Source organism: Homo sapiens, chromosome 15, assembly GCF_000001405.40.
Source record: "Homo sapiens chromosome 15, GRCh38.p14 Primary Assembly".
Classification (NCBI taxonomy): Eukaryota; Metazoa; Chordata; class Mammalia; order Primates; family Hominidae; genus Homo; species Homo sapiens.
This window is the reverse complement of record NC_000015.10, coordinates 33,815,190-33,831,930: the sequence shown is the minus strand read 5'-3', so window position 1 is coordinate 33,831,930 and position 16,741 is coordinate 33,815,190. Positions and strand designations below refer to the sequence as shown.

Genomic DNA, 16,741 nt, shown 5'->3' with positions numbered 1-16,741 from the left:
CAATATACTGTGCTTCTTTTCATGAACCACAGCGCAGAGTACAAACTGAGCGTTTTGATGAATGAATGAATAAAAGCCCTATTCATGAGTCTCCTGATTATGGTAATCTGAAGATGAAGTATTACTTTTGCTTTAAAAAAAAATCTTGTATCACCGACGGTAATGATACGCCTACTAATTTTATAGCAAATTATGCCTGAATATATCCTCTGTTCCTTTTCTAAAGTAGCTAGACCACCATAGACAATGAATAGAAAATACTATGAATAGAGAAAGACTGCAGCAAGATCTAGACAGTTAACATGAAATACACTTGCGGGTTTGACTGCCACTGCATGTAGTTTGTGCGCTTCTGAAGTTACTTCTTCCAGAGTTAATTTCTGACAAATCAGTAGGATCTCATGGATCCTGTTTTTAATCTCCATCAAGAGAACATCATTTATCCCTTAATTCCTTCATTCTATGAATCATTTCTCCACTCCACTCTCCATGCTTACTGAACAGATATATGCCAGACATTTTTCTAGATATAAAGAGTTTTGAGTAAGACATTTTCTTTCCATGAAAAATTTTTAGTTTAAGAGGGAAAGCAAAATGTAGCTAGATAAATGCAAATAAAGTGTGAACATTATAAACAGGTCCAGTGGGGGGACCCCAAACTATAGCTGCTTGTGGAATGCAGGTACTATTGCTTCCTATTTAGAGAAAATAAAAATTGTCAGCATTAGGGCTGGATGGATAGTGCACTGTGTACAATCAAGTATTCTGTAGGGAATATAGAATACAGGCATATCAACAATGTTCTCTTTGTTTTCAACCATGCACTCTGTAGCACATACCTGGATGTATTCTGTAAGAGAATTGAAAATCTGCTTGGTGACTGCCAGAGCTTTGGAAAAATTGTGCTGTCCAGATTCATCAATGATGTCCTTCCCTGAATAATACCAGTAGAAATCACTGATTGATTCCTAAAAACAAATGAGTAGAGCTTAGTATTTCTCAGACTTCAGTCAGTGAAGCTAAACTCGGTGTTTGGGAAGGGTACATGATAATCCTGCATCTCTATGACCTCTTTGCTCTGACAGGAGCCAGGGACCCTGTGAAGAAGTGCAGAGATACCAGGTCTCTAGGATCTTTCATGCACAAATATCCCTGCAGAGGAAAGAATAGATAGGAGTGAGGACTGCCTTCAGCTGGAACTTGGAGACTATGAAATAGGATAATTTACTCAATGTGAAATATGTGAAGATAATGGTAATTATCCAAATAATCATAGTAACAGCAACAACATAATAGCTAATATTGTAAGTGCCAGACGTTGTTCTGAGTACATTACATATACAGGCATGTAGAGATTCAGAGATAATCCGAGTTTGATTACAGATAAACTACAGTAAAGTGAACATTACAATAAAGTGAGTCATACAAAATGTTGATTTCTCAGCGTACATCAAAGTTATGTTTACAATATGCTGTAGTCTATTAAGTGTGCAATAGCATTATGTCTTTAAAAAACAATGTACGTGCCATCATTAAAAAATACTTTATTGCTAAAAAGTGCTAACAATCACCTGAGCTCTCAGCAAGTTGTAAGTTCCACCATCTTTTTGCTGGTGAAAGGTCTTGCCTTGATGTTGATGGCTACTGACTAAACAGGGTGGTGGCTGCTGAAGGTTGAGGTGGCTGTGGCAATTTCTTGAAATAAGACAGTGTTAACTGCATCAACTGACTTCCTTTCATGAAAGACGCATGTACTGCTTGATAGCATTTTACCCACAGAACTTCTTTCAAAATTGGAGTCAGTCTTCTCAAACCTTGCCACTCCTTATCAACTAAGTTTACAATTTTAAATCCCTTTTTGGCATTTCAACAATGTTTAGAGCATCTTCACCAGGAAGACTCCATCTCAAGAAACCACTTTCTTTGCTCATCCATGAGAGGAAACTCTTCGTTTGTCAAAGTTTGATCATGAGATTGCAGCAATTCAGGTTCATGTTCTTCAGGCTCCACTACTAATTCTAGTTCTCTTGCTATTTCCAACACGTCTGCATTTATTTCCTCCACTGAAGTCTCAAACCCCTCCAAATCACCCACAAGGGTTGCAATCAACTTCCTCAAGTCCTGTTAATGTTGATATTTGACCTTCTCCCATGAATCAAAATTTTTTTTTTTTTTTTTTGAGACAGAGTCTCGCTCTGTTGCCCAGGCTGGAGTGCAGCGGCGCAATCTGGCTCACTGCAAGCTCCGCCTCCCGGGTTCACGCCATTCTCCTGCCTCAGCCTCCCGAGTAGCTGGGACTACAGGCACCCGCCACCATGCCCGGCTAATTTTTTTTTTTGTATTTTTAGTAGAGATGGGGTTTCACCGTGTTAGCCAGGATGGTCTCGATCTCCTGACCTTGTGATCCTCCTGCCTTGGCCTCCCAAAGTCCTAGGATTACAGATGCGAGCCACTGGGCCTGGCCCACAATGTTTTTTAATGACATCTACAATGTTGAATCCTTTCCAGAAGGTTTTCAACTTACCGTGCCCAGATCCATCAGAGGAATCACTATCTGTAGCAGCTGTAGCCTTACGAAATGCATTTCTTAAAAAATAAGACTTGCAAGTCAAAATTACTCCTTGATCCATGGGCTGCAGAATAAATCTTGTATTAGCAGGCATGAAAAAAAGATTCATTTCCTTGTATATCTCCATCAGAGCTCTTGGAACCAGGTGCATAGTCAACAACAGTAATATTTTGAAAGGAATCTTTTTTTTTTTCTGAGCAGTTGGTGTCAACAGTGGGCTTAAAATAGTAAATCATGCTGTAAACAGATGACAATCCAAGCTTTGTTTTTCCATACATAGAGCATGGGCAGAGTAGATTTACCATAATTCTTAAGGGCCCTAGGATTTTTGGAATGGTAAACGAGCAGTGGCTTCAACTTAAAGCTACCAGCTGGGCTGCCCCTAATAAGAAAGTCAGCCTGTCCTTTGAAGCTCTGAAGTGAGGTATTGGCTTGTCCTCTCTAACTATGAAAGTCCTAGATGGTATCTCTCTTCTAGGAGAAGGCTGTTTCATGTACGTGGGAAATCTGTTGTTTAGTGTGACCACCTTCATCAATTATCCTAGATAGATCTTCTGGGTAACTTGCTGCAGCTTCTATATCTGCACTTGCTGCTTTACCTTACACTTTTGTTTTGGAGATGACTTCTTTCCCTAAACCTCATGAACCAAACTCTGCTAGCTTCAAACTGTTCTTTGGCAGCTTCCTTACCTCTCTCAGCCTTCATAGAATTGAAGAGAGTTAGAGCCCTGCTCTAGATTAGATTGTGGCTTATGAGAATGTTGTGGCTGGTTTGACCTTTTATCCAGACCACTCGCACTGTCCCCATTTCAGTAATGAGGGTGTTTTGCTTTCTTATCATTCATATGCTCACTGAGGCAGCCCTTTTAATGTCCTTTAATAACTTTTTCTTTGCATAGCTTGGCTGTTTAGTGCAAGGGGCCTAGCCTTTGGCCTGTCTTAGCTTTCAACATGCCTTCCTTACTAAGCTTAATCATTTCCAGCTTTTGATTTAAAGTGGGAGATGTGTGACTCTTCCTTTCACTTGAACACTTGGAGGCCACTGTAGGGAAATTAACTGACCTAACTTCAATACTGTTATGTCTCAGGGAATAGGAAGGCCTGAGGAGAAGGAGGGAGATGGAGGAACAGTTGGTGGAATGGTGAGAACACATGCAACATTAAGTTTGCTGTCTTACAAGGGCATAGTTCATGGCACCCCAAAACAATTACAATAGTAACATCGAAGATCACTGATCACAGATCACCATAATAGATATAATAGTGAAAAGTTGGAAATATTGTGAGAATCATCAAAATGTGACAGAGACACCAAGTGAGTAAATGCTGTTGGTAAAACGGCACAGATAGACTTGCTTGATGCAGGGTTACCACAAACCTTCGATTTGTAAAACACACAGCATCTGTGAAGCACAATAATACCAACTGCAATAAAATGAGGTATGCCTGTATCCAACCTCTCAATCTTTACTACCACCCTATGGCATAGGTCCTACCCCTTTTACTGATGAAAAAACTGGAACACAGGCACATTAAACATATTGCTCTAGGTTACAAACCAGTAAGTGGCAGAACCAGGATGAGGAATCAGCAAAGAGGAAAAAAATCCCTTTTTGTTAATAGGTTTGTGTAGATTTTTTCAATATAATTTGGGCTTCCTTGAAACAAACCATCTGACTTCTCAACACGAACTTGTAAACTCATCCTATTCCTATCATCTCGTGTAAGTCTTTTTTTCTAGTGAAATCTGTTCTCATTCACAGGTTATTTTAGAGCTCTTGGTTGTGTTATAGCTCTTGGTTGTTTTATAGCAACACAGATTGGTTTTCACTGGCAAAACTAAAGTAAACCAGCATTTCATAACAGACGATTTGGTGTTTAACCACGTCTCCCACTTCTGTCTTCAAATATACTCTTTGGGCACTGGACTTCCCATGCATCTGTGGATACACGTTACAACGCCTTCCTTATAGGGGCTTGACTGTATCCTGGGCTGTCCCTGACCCTGTGTAACTGTGTTTATCTTCTGGAAGCAAAGGTGAGAGGTCCCATTGTCCAAGGCCCTCCCACTCACCTGCAGACGCAGAAGGTAGTCCACAGTGCTGATGATGACATTCACGGTGGTGGTGTTGCCCATCTGAGTCCGCAGGAAGTTCTGAAAGTCTGAGAGCACCAGTGCTGGGTCAGAGCTTGTCCCTGCCATGCCGAGGGGGCCAAGCATGCCCTCTCAGCTGAGCTCAGATAAGACATTCTATGTGAAAAGGCTTACAAGAATACCATGTTTGGGTCATGGCAGATCCTGCAGGGCAGAGCTCTGCTCTGAGCACCCCCCCAACCTGCGGACACCAGAAACTGGACTTAACGAGCCCCAAGGGGCTAGATGGAAAGGGCTGGGTATTTAGATTTCTCATCTGAAGATTCTGGAAGCAGCTTAGCCTTGGTGGCACTAAATATCACTAGCCATGATATTTACATAGTTTCTTATTGAGGAACGCATTAACTGATGTCCTTGAGTTAACAACTAGTTGCATCAAATGGGGCATACTGAACGGAATTCTAGTTTTGCCCGAGTGCTGTGTTTCCTTGGCAGATCAATCTGTTCCACTCACCACTGTTATGTCCCTCACAAAGTAACTGTAGGAATCTAAAGAGATCACGCGTGAACTCGTCATTCTGGAGTACTTTTTCACCTTGAAAACACAGAACGTTGATGAGCATTGGTTTGGCTTCTCACCAGAGAATACTTTCTAATGTAAATGACTACACAGATGATAAAGGAGTTGTGTCAGAATGGTTTGGAAAAGGAACTTTGGATGAATGGTGAAAAGCCCAATTAAACTGAGCTGGGCTGCAAGGCACAATGCCCAATAAATGCATTTGTAATGAAGACAACTGGATAAGGAGAGTAAATGGCTCACGGTCCATAACCCATGCTTTACAGATGGAAGACACTTCTTTAATTAAGTACCAAACTGCTGAGTTCAACTCAACATGCAACTACCAAGCCTAAAATGTTTCTGTGCTGAGGCAATTAAATGAGATCTCCTAGGATTCACACACGGTAGGAACTCAGGCCAGAAACTGAAACTTACCACGTTCCCGAACAATGACTGGTAATGAGAGAAAAACAGAAGAATAGAAAGTAAGAAAACTGTAAACATCATGATAAACTGTCTTTAGTTAAAACTGGCTATGTGAACACATCCATCCTAGATGATAGCTTTATTAAAGCTACCGATGGAAGCATTTTACTGAAACAGAGCAAGTCCTTGCATACTAAGCAAAGACATGAGCTCTGACCAGAAATAGGTAATTAAGATTTTAAATGGCCAGGTGCGGTGGCTCACGCCTGTAATTCCAGCACTATGGGAGGCTAAGGTGGGGTGGATCACCTGAGGTCAGGAGTTCAAGACCAGCCTGGCCAACATGATGAAATGCTGCCTCTACTAAAAATACAAAAAATTAGCTGGCTGTGGTGGTGGGAGCCTGTAATCCCATCTACTCGGGAGGATGAGGCAGGAGAAGTGCTTGAACCCAGGAGACAGAGGTTGCAGTGAGGTGAGATCGCGCCACTGCAGTCCAGCCTGAGCAACAAGAGCGAAACTCTGTATGGGGAAAAAAAAAAAAAAAAAAAAAAAGATTTTAATCAGGAAGAGAATGGCCTTCACATTCATTAGTTACTTACGTGTTCCTTCTTCAGTCACCATCCCCAGGCCTTCAGCTTTATTCTGCCTCTCAAATGCATTCAAATCAAGGACACTTTTAATAGACAGAAAGAAACAAGGTTCAGGGCTACGCACGCTGGGAAAGCAGATTTCTAATGTTAATGTACCTATCGACTAAGCATATCCTGCCCCTGTGTTATCGTAAATAAACTAACACATTCCAGGGTGGTTGCAAGTCTAATGATTCCTTGGTTTTGTGCCGAGCAGTGTTGTCTTAGGTGCCTATAGCTCACAGACTTTGTTACATACAGGTAGAGGGGTCATGAACACTTACGGTGACTCTCATTGTCTGTCCAGTTTGAGTCTTTTGGTGAAGACTCAAGGTCTTCACTTTGATGTGAAGGTTTAGAAAAGTTTTCCAAATAAAGAAGGAATAATCTGTTTTTAAGATTTCTCGAGGGAAAGTTTACTTTAAACAGCACTGATTAATGTTTGCCTCCCACCTTTACCTACTTTCTCTGAGAATCACATGGAATTGTGGTTTCCAGAGCTTAGGATGAGCTACAAACTTCCAGATTTCAAAGGGCCACGCCCTTTTATGATTCTACATCATGCAAAAGCCTATGGAAGCTGAGGTTCCGCTTTCCACAGGGAATGGTGCCTCCAGGTATTCCTGAATTTATGACAAGTTGGCCTTCATTTTTGTCCCTACTCCCCACAACCTTCCTAGTCACAGCCACTGCCAAATTTTACTCAGCCAGGAAGCCATAGTGCAACCACAAAGCTTGCTGATGAGACCACTATATGATCATGTTATTTCTAAGTGGGGCTCATTCCATTTTACTAACGGAGTCTAACTTATTCCCCAATCTGAAAGGTTTCATAGAACATAGAACATAGCTCTTAGGAAAGTTTATGGCTAAGTCCATTAAGACTCTGCAAAACTTAGCTTTCCTTCTACCACGGGGCAAAGGCATGGAGAAAAATCTGGCCTTCCTGTTTTCTTTTTAAGGAGTCACATGTTTTGTGATTTAGGTAAGTTTCATTTACCTAATTTCATCATTTAGGTAAAAATGATTTAGGTAGACAGTGAAATCTCTATTGCCATTTGTTTGTTTTTCCCAGATTCTGCTGGCAAAAGGGCTTGCTCATCAACACAAAACTATCCTTCTACTTTGGTTTAGCCGTCAGGGGAGGAAAACATGGGAAAGAACATTTGGACATAGTTGCTCTGAAGCAGCAGTTTTGAATCTGAATCTATGCAACACACATTTCTGATCCTTACTCACTCCATTCCTAAATACCCATTTTGAATGTTTTAACTTCCCTACTGCTTAAATTTTTAAAAAACATATATTGTTCTTATAATCATAAAAAACCCAGCAGTAAGACATCTTAAAACTTCTGTTAGAACTCAGCTGGCATCTAAGCGTATATCACCTGTCTCTCCAAGCTGTCATTATAAATGAGTTTAGCAATATTAAGTATTACAGGATACTGAGAGAACTGTTAGAAAGTAAATGGATAACTTTATGAGCAATATGGAATTGAGTTGCCTTGATTTTTGCCATCTCTGAGTTCATATGTACTATTTTAGCTTCAGAGAGGCAGGCCTGGAAATATTCCTTTTTGTTTTCCTGAGAGAGATAATAAATGAATAGACTGTTGGTGGGGAAAAGCCCCACAGAGCTGAGACTAAAGAATTATACTGCAGCTCACGTATGCTCCCTACTGCCCAGGGTACGATATTTTACCCAGTGAAATATGGTTAGCAAAAGTATGTAGTCCACCAAGAGAAAGGATGACCATCCTCCACATTTTTAAATGGAAAGCATAATTGGAGGCAAATGAACTAGGTAATTAAAAGTTTAATTTCTTTTAGAATTATCTGCAGACTATCCAAATACATATGAATCTTAGACAATAAGCTGACACTTTTCTTAGATTCTGGCTCATCTCTGAATTCAGCAAGTATCATGACCTATGACTCTGGATTATATATTATTTATGTGTCAGAGCCATTCAGCCATGAGGGGTGGCTTAAACAGCTTAATAATATGAATGGAAAGTTCAAAGCCTTGTTTTTTAGGCTATGTCAAAATGTTCCCATGCCAGGATGTACCGCTGTCAAAATGGATGTGTCAAAATACACACTACCCTAACACATATTCAAGCTCAAAGAATTGTTAAGGACAAAGATTAACAAAGTACCTAGTGGGTTTAATAAAACATAGCCCTGAATCATAGTCAGGAATCCCCCCTTTTCCATTCTTTCCTGGTTTGACTTTTATGGACATACATGTTTGATGAGAAACTCAATGCGCACACTGAGCCTGCTGGGAAAGCAACATAAACGTGGAGGTAAGGAAGGGAGATTAAACACAACAGCAGTGGGGGAGCGTGTGTATGTGGCTAATGGCAATCACATTTTCCCCTCTGAATGTTAGCTGAATTGTCATCCTGAAGGCTGGAGGAACAACACCTACTCTCTTAGCTTTCTAAGTAGGTGCTTCCTCTCTCAAGAATTCTATGGTAGGCCAGTATATTTTGTGCTCCCCTTCCCCTGCCTCCTATGCTTAGAGGGAAGAGTTTTTTAAATGCTATGGTAGTTTTCCCGCATTTACCTGCAAGACTGCATAAGACCAGAAAGGCTTTGAAAGAATCCAGCATCCTTTTTCTCCTTTAGGTAATCTAGCATTTTCTGCAAGGGAGACACGTTGTAAGGGGAAAAGCGATGAAAACTATACCACAGAGCTGACCCTCCTAATCCTGATGGAGAAATCCCCAGCCACACTGAGTTGGACGCTCTGCTTATGGAATCAGAGTCCCATGGGGTAGATCATGTTTATTTTATAAACGCCCACTGGCATTTCTTCTAGGGCAGAATTGACATTCATAGACCTACTGATTGAAGTCCCTTCTATTTGGGAACAAGCACCAAGGCCGTGATATAGTAATGTATCACGAAGCTGAGTTATAATCTGAATAGCTCATGCTATGAATTTGGCACAGAGGAGCAAGGAGCTTAGCCAGTAAGGAGCCTAGCTGAAAGCTCAGTATTTCTTTCACAATGAGGCTTTGTTTCCTGTGTTCTCTTTTACTGGAAGGTAGGAACTTTGTTTGACATAATAAAAATTTTGTTTTTTAAAAAATAAACAAAAGGCCCCATAAGAAAGTCAACTGACATCTCGTGGTAGGTGGTAGAAGGGAACAGAAAGTGAAGGATAACTTAGAAAATGACAGTTTTTAATAAAAAATTGGAGAAACTTTAGGGGGATGAGTTAAAGGCTGGGAAAAGCTATATGCAGTAATGGTGGTTGTGAATCTGGAGACTCTCACAGGCCCTGGGATATAACCCTTATGAATGCCAAGGGTCTGTTTGAAATTTCACTTCCCTGTACACACAGATGCTTTTAACCAGAACCCGGAGTGCCTGAGAAACACCGGTATGTTCCTGTCTTCTGCAGCCTGTTCCAATTCAGATTGTTGAAGAAATACCATGTGTCAGGTACTTGGTTGTATGCTTCTATGTGTTGTCGCATTTAATGCTCACTAGAGTGTAGGCTGCACGATGGCAGGAGTTTTTATTTGTATTATTCACTGCTACACCCTCAGCCCTTGCAGCAGAGCCTGGCATGGTCATCAGTCAGTAAACAGTTGCTCAATGAATGAATGAATGGATGAACGAACGAATAACAGGTTTGTGAGTTTATCAGTTCCACTTAACTGATGAGGCTCCTTGCTCATACTAAAGGCAGCTAATTAGTGAAAATAAAGGGCTAAAGTAAAAACCTAACTCTTAGGAAATTTTTCTGGAGAATATTTATACAGAAAGTTATCTACTGATGAAAAACTAAATGTTTTTATCTTTAATCCTGGATAAAACCTCTTTATTAAAGACACATTTGCCTGCAGATTCCCAGCCATGTTGCGTTCCCAGCTACTCTGATATAACTGGCCACTAAGGACAAACGTGAGCTAAGTGATTCTGGGTGGCTCCCCTCTGTAGCAGTCAACTCCTCTTCCCTGAAGCATGACAGGTGTCAAATGGGAATACCCCGGGAGCCTGCCCAGCCGCTGCAAGTTCCCGTTACCTGTTGCACACCAGCATTGCCTCCGTTCAGAATGGCGATCCCCAGCTTCAGCGTCTCAACCACCATGGGGCTCATCTCACCTGCCATGGTGAAGATTCGATTGAATCACCAAGGAAACAGATGGTAAATCATGCCTCCTGGGCCTTAGCAGGGCTCTTTAATAATGGCTGTATGTCACAGCATGATATCTTTGTGGAAGTTACATAAGCCCATCCAGAAACTAGGGAAATCACCTTTGCTAGCGCTTATCATCTGAAGGACCATCTCTGCAGCACCACGCTCATGCAGCCGAGCTTGCTGATAGAGGGTTTTTTGCTTCTCCATCTCTTTCTCCTGGGGGGAAAAAAAATCACAGGGAAAGATTGGTTCCTACCCAGCACCAGGGAGTTCACCCATAGTGAGGTGAGAGAGAATTTTCCAGTTACCTAAGGAAGGTAACACACATCAACTTGGATAAAGCAGACTTCTGAAGTTTATTTCCAGACACTAGCCAGCTTTCTAAAACTGTCTACCCATCACTCTTATTTTGATGGTACATTTTCCATTTTTTGTACTGATAGAACACACAGTCCATTCCTTTTGGATACCATAATTGTGGGAAGCAACGCAACATTAAAATGTGTTTGTTTTCCATGTTCTGTTACACAGGGAAACCTGCTGAGGGGTCAACTTGAGTATTTCTGGCTGAATGCAGGAAATGCTCAATAGGCTAATGTCAGCACCCACCTCTGAAGGCCTGGCCTATTGGCCTTGGAGGGTGGCTCTATTTTTATTCTTCATGAGAACTTACTTCGAATGTTTTTTCCTTGTCTTCATCTTCTTCTTCATCCTCACCACTTTGACAACTCTGGATTTCATGGAGCAGGGAAGGGAGAAGACAGACAATCAAATTAAAGGGAAATCTAATAAACACAACTCTACAAGGGCAGGGGACAGGACGTAATTCACAGGCACCTCAGGACCTCAGCGTTGTGTAAAGCCAGGAACATTTTGGCCACTGCTGGGCAACATTTCTCCTGTAAATGCCATCTTCGCAGTTACCATAGAGTTCAGAAATGAGAAATGAGAACACAGAGCTCACATCATCAATGGTGACCTAGCTGGTTTAACCACAGACTTGAACTCTTCTACCTTAGTAAGGTTCTGGTGTAAATGGGAGACAGGAATGCAGGGAGCTGCCACTTCCTAGATACAGCCCCAAGGGCATGGCATTAAGATTGGAGACACATCACCTAGGATGTGAATCCTAAAGCGCCTCTTCCCACTGGGGCCCTGTGGTACAGCTAGATCAAGGAATAGGTGCTCCTATACCCCAACACATCCTTTCTGCCTGACATCAAAGTTTCCCTTATTTGCTCAGCATTCCAGAGGTCACCATCTTTCTAGGTGACAAAGAACATTTCTGGTCACACTGCCTCTTCCAGAGCACCGGGAGCTCTCTCTAGTTTCTAACCTTCACCTGTGGATGTGTTTGAACTGTCTGATGTATCCTGAACATTGAGTGAAAACACAAGGGTATTCTGTATGCCTAAGCCCCATTTAGCTGGCTTTAGAAATGTCAGTGTGAACCTATCCACCAGCACCCATTGTTTCTGCAAAGCTTCAAGGTTTCCTTAGGAAGACGGTGAATTGGTTTACTAATATCATCTCTATGGCACATGAATTGTGCAATGCCTGAAACCTATGTCATGACAAAGTCCCAGGCCTGCTATTCAACATGACAATTTTCATGCGCCTAAAGAAATCTAAGGGAAGACAGAAAGACAGAGACAATGGGCAGAAAACCTGGGTGTACCTTGGCCATCATGCTGGAATAGGAGGTGTACAAAGGGTCGTCTTCCAATTTGCTGGAAAGAATGGAGGAAATATTTAGCAGGCTTTTTATTTATTTATTTATTTATTTATTTATTTATTTATTTATTTATTTTTGAGACAGAGTTTTCTCTTGTCCCCTAGGCTGGAGTGCAATGACGCGATCTCGGCTCACTGCAACCTCCGCCTCCTGGATTCAAGTGATTCTCCTACCTCAACCTCCCCAGTAGCTGGGATTACAGGTGCCTGCCACCATGCCCAGCTAACTTTTTTATATTTTTAGTAGAGATGGGGTTTCACCATATTGGCCAGGCTGGTCTCAAACTCCTGACCTCAAGTGATCTGCCTGCCTTGGCCTCCCAAAATGCTGGAATTACAGGCATGAGCCACCATGCCCAGCCTTAGCAGGCTACTCTTTGGACCCCACAATAAAGACTAAGAGTCATATAAATCTCAAATTATAAGTACTAGTGAATTAATTAGAAAATCCCTTCCCCCACTCTGATTCTTAGAAACCACTCTGAAAATGTGAACCAGCAGGGGCTTAACATGGAATTCAGAGATGAAGTTTATAGTTTTAGGCTGTTTAATCTTTAGCTCAGTGTCTGACATTATGAAGAGCAGGCTGTGGCTTGATGTAGTTTCCCTAGACATGTCTTTTTTTCTGGAGACGGAGTTTTGCTCTTGTCGCCCAGGCTGGAGTGCAGTGGTGTGATCTCGGCTCACTGCAACCTCCGCCTCCCGGGTTCAAGCGATTGTCCTGCCTCAGCCTCCTGAGTAGCTGGGATTACATGCGTGCACCACCATGCCCGGCTAATTTTGTAGTTTTAGTAGAGATGGTGTTTCACCATGTCGGTCAGGCTGGCCTCGAACTCCTGCCCTCAGATGGTCCGCCCGCCTTGGCTTCCCAAAGTGCTGGGATTACAGGCGTGAGCCACCACGCCTGGCTCCCTAGACATATCTTGATGGCCAAATATAAGGCAGCAAGGAGGGCTGCTCAAATCTAGCTTCCCTTTTCCACCCACTGCCGTCTGAGAGAAGAAGGTCAGGAGTGGACACAAGTATCCCTGGTGCCTGGGAGAAGCAGGTGAGCTGGTGGTTCTGACCTCCTCTCCGTGAGAGCGTTGCGGCTAAAATAGAGAATGATCTGATGTAGTGGGTCAGGTTGTTTTTCTGTCTCTTCCTCCTCCTCCTCTTCCACCTTTGGAGATTTCTACACAAACCAACACAGATAGGTTTTAGGCATGAATTTAATCTCGTGCCACGTGACTGGCATGCGAACAAAGAGAAGGTAAAGCGCAAGGCACAGAGTGCATCAGACTAAAGCACAAAACAAAACCACTACGTCATGTATTTATTTCAGGATAGAAGCCCTAAAGGTGCGAGGTTTGAGATACATGTGTATATATGTTTGTATATTTTTTATTTTTACAGCCAACCAAAGAAACATTCCAATTTCAGGTTAAAACAAAATAAAAAGCAAAAGGCTGCCCATAAAGGGAATAGCTACAGACTCCAATCAGCTGACCTCTCATGCAAGCTCTGGGCACCCGAGTTCAGGAGGAAAACCCCACAGAGACACCTGAGAGACTGCTCTCTCAGGCCAACAGCTGACATTTCTTTTGAAGGGCTGGGCTGGACATGGAGGTGGGGCAAGAGTTACAAAGCAGTGGGGCCATTTTGGGTCTAATACTATTCTAGATTCAACCCAGCAAAACATCTCTCTTTCCTGACCTAACTCTTGATTCTAAAATTCTTGTTGCTCCTGAGAGCTGCCATCCTGGAGCTGCAGGCCTTGCCCTTCTCCTTTTATCAGGTCTTTTCTTTATCGCTTTTCATGGAAAGAGAAATAACAGCTAATGTCAGAGGTAAAAGTGAATTTTCTAGCAGTGGCAGAGCCAGCAGGGTGGACCGTATTTGGTAAATTGGTGAGAACTACATGGGTTGTATGAATGGTTCAGAAGAAGTAGAGGGCTGAAGTGACGCTCATTGTCAACTTCACACTCATCAAGAAACTGAGAAAACCAACGGAGTGTCTTTCTCACCAACAGGAATATATGGGAAGAATGAAAGACATAAAGACAAAGGGAAAGAAAACAATAGGAAAAGGCTTTAAAAAAGAAGGAAAGAAACAGAGGGTGACAGGGAAAGATAGAAAGTGAAAGACATTTAGAAAAAAGTGACTATCAGAAACACAGGACAAGATGAACGGAGAGAGTGAGTGGTAAGAGAAAAAGGTTCGTGGGAGAAGGAGAAAAAGAACCACAGGGCTGGCCAAAGAGAAGGAGGGTTTATTTTCTCTCTGAACCAGAATGAGGCTCTGTGGCACCTCTGCAGTAAGTTTTCCCCTCTTGTGTCATTTTAAGTGGCTTTAGAGCATGAAGTCTGTTAGAGACAAGGCATGCCAAATTTTCTGAAAGGCCAAATATAGAAATGTAAGATGCAGGAAGGGTATCTAGATGCATCTTCCCCAAAGCAGAACTACAGAGTAGGAACGTGGGGCTTTGGCTGGGGTGGCCTCCTGCAACCAGTGGTGCTCAAAACTTCACTTAGCATGAACCCCCCATGACATGGCGGTGCATTTTAAGAAATATTAGTTGTTAACAGCGACAATGAGGAGGACGATGACAGTATTAGCAACTCCAAGTGAAAATTCATCCTCTGGCTCCTATGACCATTAGCAGGGCCTCCCCTGAGCACTTACACAGTTAGTGCTTTTCAACTGTATACACACGATTCCTTGTGAATGTTTAACTGTTACAACCACACACATGAATTCGAAAATCAAATTCATCCACACTCATATCTGCTCCCAGGGGAGTCAGTACTTACAGCCAAATCCTGTACTAGTTTCTCTTCAAAGGAATACTCCTCTGTTTCTATCCAAAATCTCTGATAGCCATGGAGGAAGAGGTTAATAGAGCGGTGCCTGAGCGGAAGGGGTGAGAGGGAGGTCAAGAGGGATCCATGGAACTTGTTCTTTTAGTTTGGGCAGTTAATGGTTAGTAAGCAGGACAGACTTTTGTACAATTCTTGTCTTCTGATTGGTCAGGGTAGCCAGTAGCATACCACAGAACTCACTTCAAAGAAACCAGAACCCTCTACCATGACGAGTCTTGAATATTAGAGCACCTTCTGAAAATGACAATGGTTAGCAAGACATGGCAGTTATCTGTAATCCTACTCTGTTCTCATAGGCTCTTTATCACATTTCCTCTCCAATGAGAAATCAATCATTAGGCCAAGTAACAGTCCTGAAGTATTTGCTTCATATGGCAATTTAGGTATTCCTTTAGGCTGATCACCCTTCTAGGTAATCCAATCTAAGTCATACCGATGATCAGTGGTTTCATCTTAGAGATACCAAAATACCAAAATGTGGCTTCTTTTCATTCTCCAAGTAACCACAGTGGTAAAGTGCTCCAGCTTTTACTTAGCACGACAAGGTTTAAGCACGTTACGTCGTTGGCATATTTTCTGTGTGCCGCATGGATTCTAGCTATGTCCCTGGTATGTGGGTGCACTGAATAACTGGCATGAGCCACTCCCGATAAGCCAGGATTGACTTCTGGGAATATTAGCCACTGCAAAGCAAAAGCAGCCAAGTGTTTACAAAATGTGAGGACAGTGGTGAGGAGGGAAGGAGAGGGGAGGAAGATAAAAGTCAACACCAGAGCCATTAAACTCCGGTCATGGTTTTCGGTAGGACACAGCCCTTGCCATCTTTCTTCAAGTCTGACCAATCAGAATTCTTCCTAAAAATTGTACAAATTCGTGTTCTTATGGTAACGTTAAATCATGGTCAATAAAGGAGGAGTGTGCAGAGAATGAGCAGGTCTCTCCACAGGTTACATTACCATTAAAATGGGTATAAGCCTGTCATACTGAGTTTTTTCATTAACCTTTTCCAGCCAAACTTGTTGAAAGGTGCTCAGGAAGAAATTATTAATTTTGTGTCTGGAGAGAAGCATACAAGTTTTCTTTTAAAAACTAGCATCAGAGACAGTTTCCCATAATAAAACAAATCCCTTTAGCCCTTTAGTTTGGGAGATTCTGTGCGGTTAGATGATCACAAGGTGGAGAAGAGAAGTTGTCTCCATCATCAGCTTCTCTGTTGTTATGAAATCTACTTACAGTCCTCCATGCTAGAGAGATCACCCATAGCAGCCCCTCTAAAACAACTGAGTTAGGGACGGTCATGCTTCATGAAGGACATAGTGAATTCCTAGACTTACTCTTACCCATACAGAGTAAAACTACTGAAGGTGCAGCCCAGATATGTAAGGATGGTACTAATATCTTCAGTGGATTTAGAAAAAAATGCTTGTTTTTGAGAGATGTAATTTCTGCCTAGCTGTCCTGGTCCCAGAGACATGTGCTTTCGAGCTAGGCTCTTTCGAAGGCCAACTCAGCACAATGTCAGGTAGAAATCTCAATCAGATAGGGAAGGAAACACTTTCTGATGTTTCGACACTTCCAGAAAACAAAGACAAATTCTATGCACTTTTGCTTTTTCTAACGGGCTATGAATTTCACTTTTCTGTTACGACTTCAGCAGCCTTAACGCCCATGACTGCTTGAGCTTTTCATCTTTTCATTCA

General features: G+C 42.1%; 1 protein-coding gene across 19 annotated transcripts in view; it reads right to left on the bottom strand.

Moving 5' to 3' along the window:
• Positions 1 to 16,741, bottom strand: part of RYR3 (ryanodine receptor 3) — a 555,136-nt gene that overhangs the window by 34,172 nt on the left and 504,223 nt on the right. For 11 of the 19 annotated variants that reach the window (XM_047432931.1, XM_017022468.2, XM_017022475.2 and 8 more), the window contains 12 exons: positions 15,998 to 16,097; positions 13,247 to 13,353; positions 12,124 to 12,175; positions 11,119 to 11,175; positions 10,562 to 10,661; positions 10,329 to 10,408; positions 8,859 to 8,935; positions 6,255 to 6,328; positions 5,662 to 5,679; positions 5,179 to 5,259; positions 4,644 to 4,732; positions 840 to 968 (listed from right to left, as the gene is read on the bottom strand). In XM_047432931.1, coding sequence (XP_047288887.1) covers positions 840 to 968; positions 4,644 to 4,732; positions 5,179 to 5,259; positions 5,662 to 5,679; positions 6,255 to 6,328; positions 8,859 to 8,935; positions 10,329 to 10,408; positions 10,562 to 10,661; positions 11,119 to 11,175; positions 12,124 to 12,175; positions 13,247 to 13,353; positions 15,998 to 16,097 — 964 coding nt within the window. Of the gene's footprint in view, positions 1 to 839; positions 969 to 4,643; positions 4,733 to 5,178; positions 5,260 to 5,661; positions 5,680 to 6,254; positions 6,329 to 8,858; positions 8,936 to 10,328; positions 10,409 to 10,561; positions 10,662 to 11,118; positions 11,176 to 12,123; positions 12,176 to 13,246; positions 13,354 to 14,972; positions 15,070 to 15,997; positions 16,098 to 16,741 lie in introns of those variants that run through there. The other 8 variants (NM_001036.6, NM_001243996.4, XM_017022472.2 and 5 more) reach the window with 3 other exon arrangements.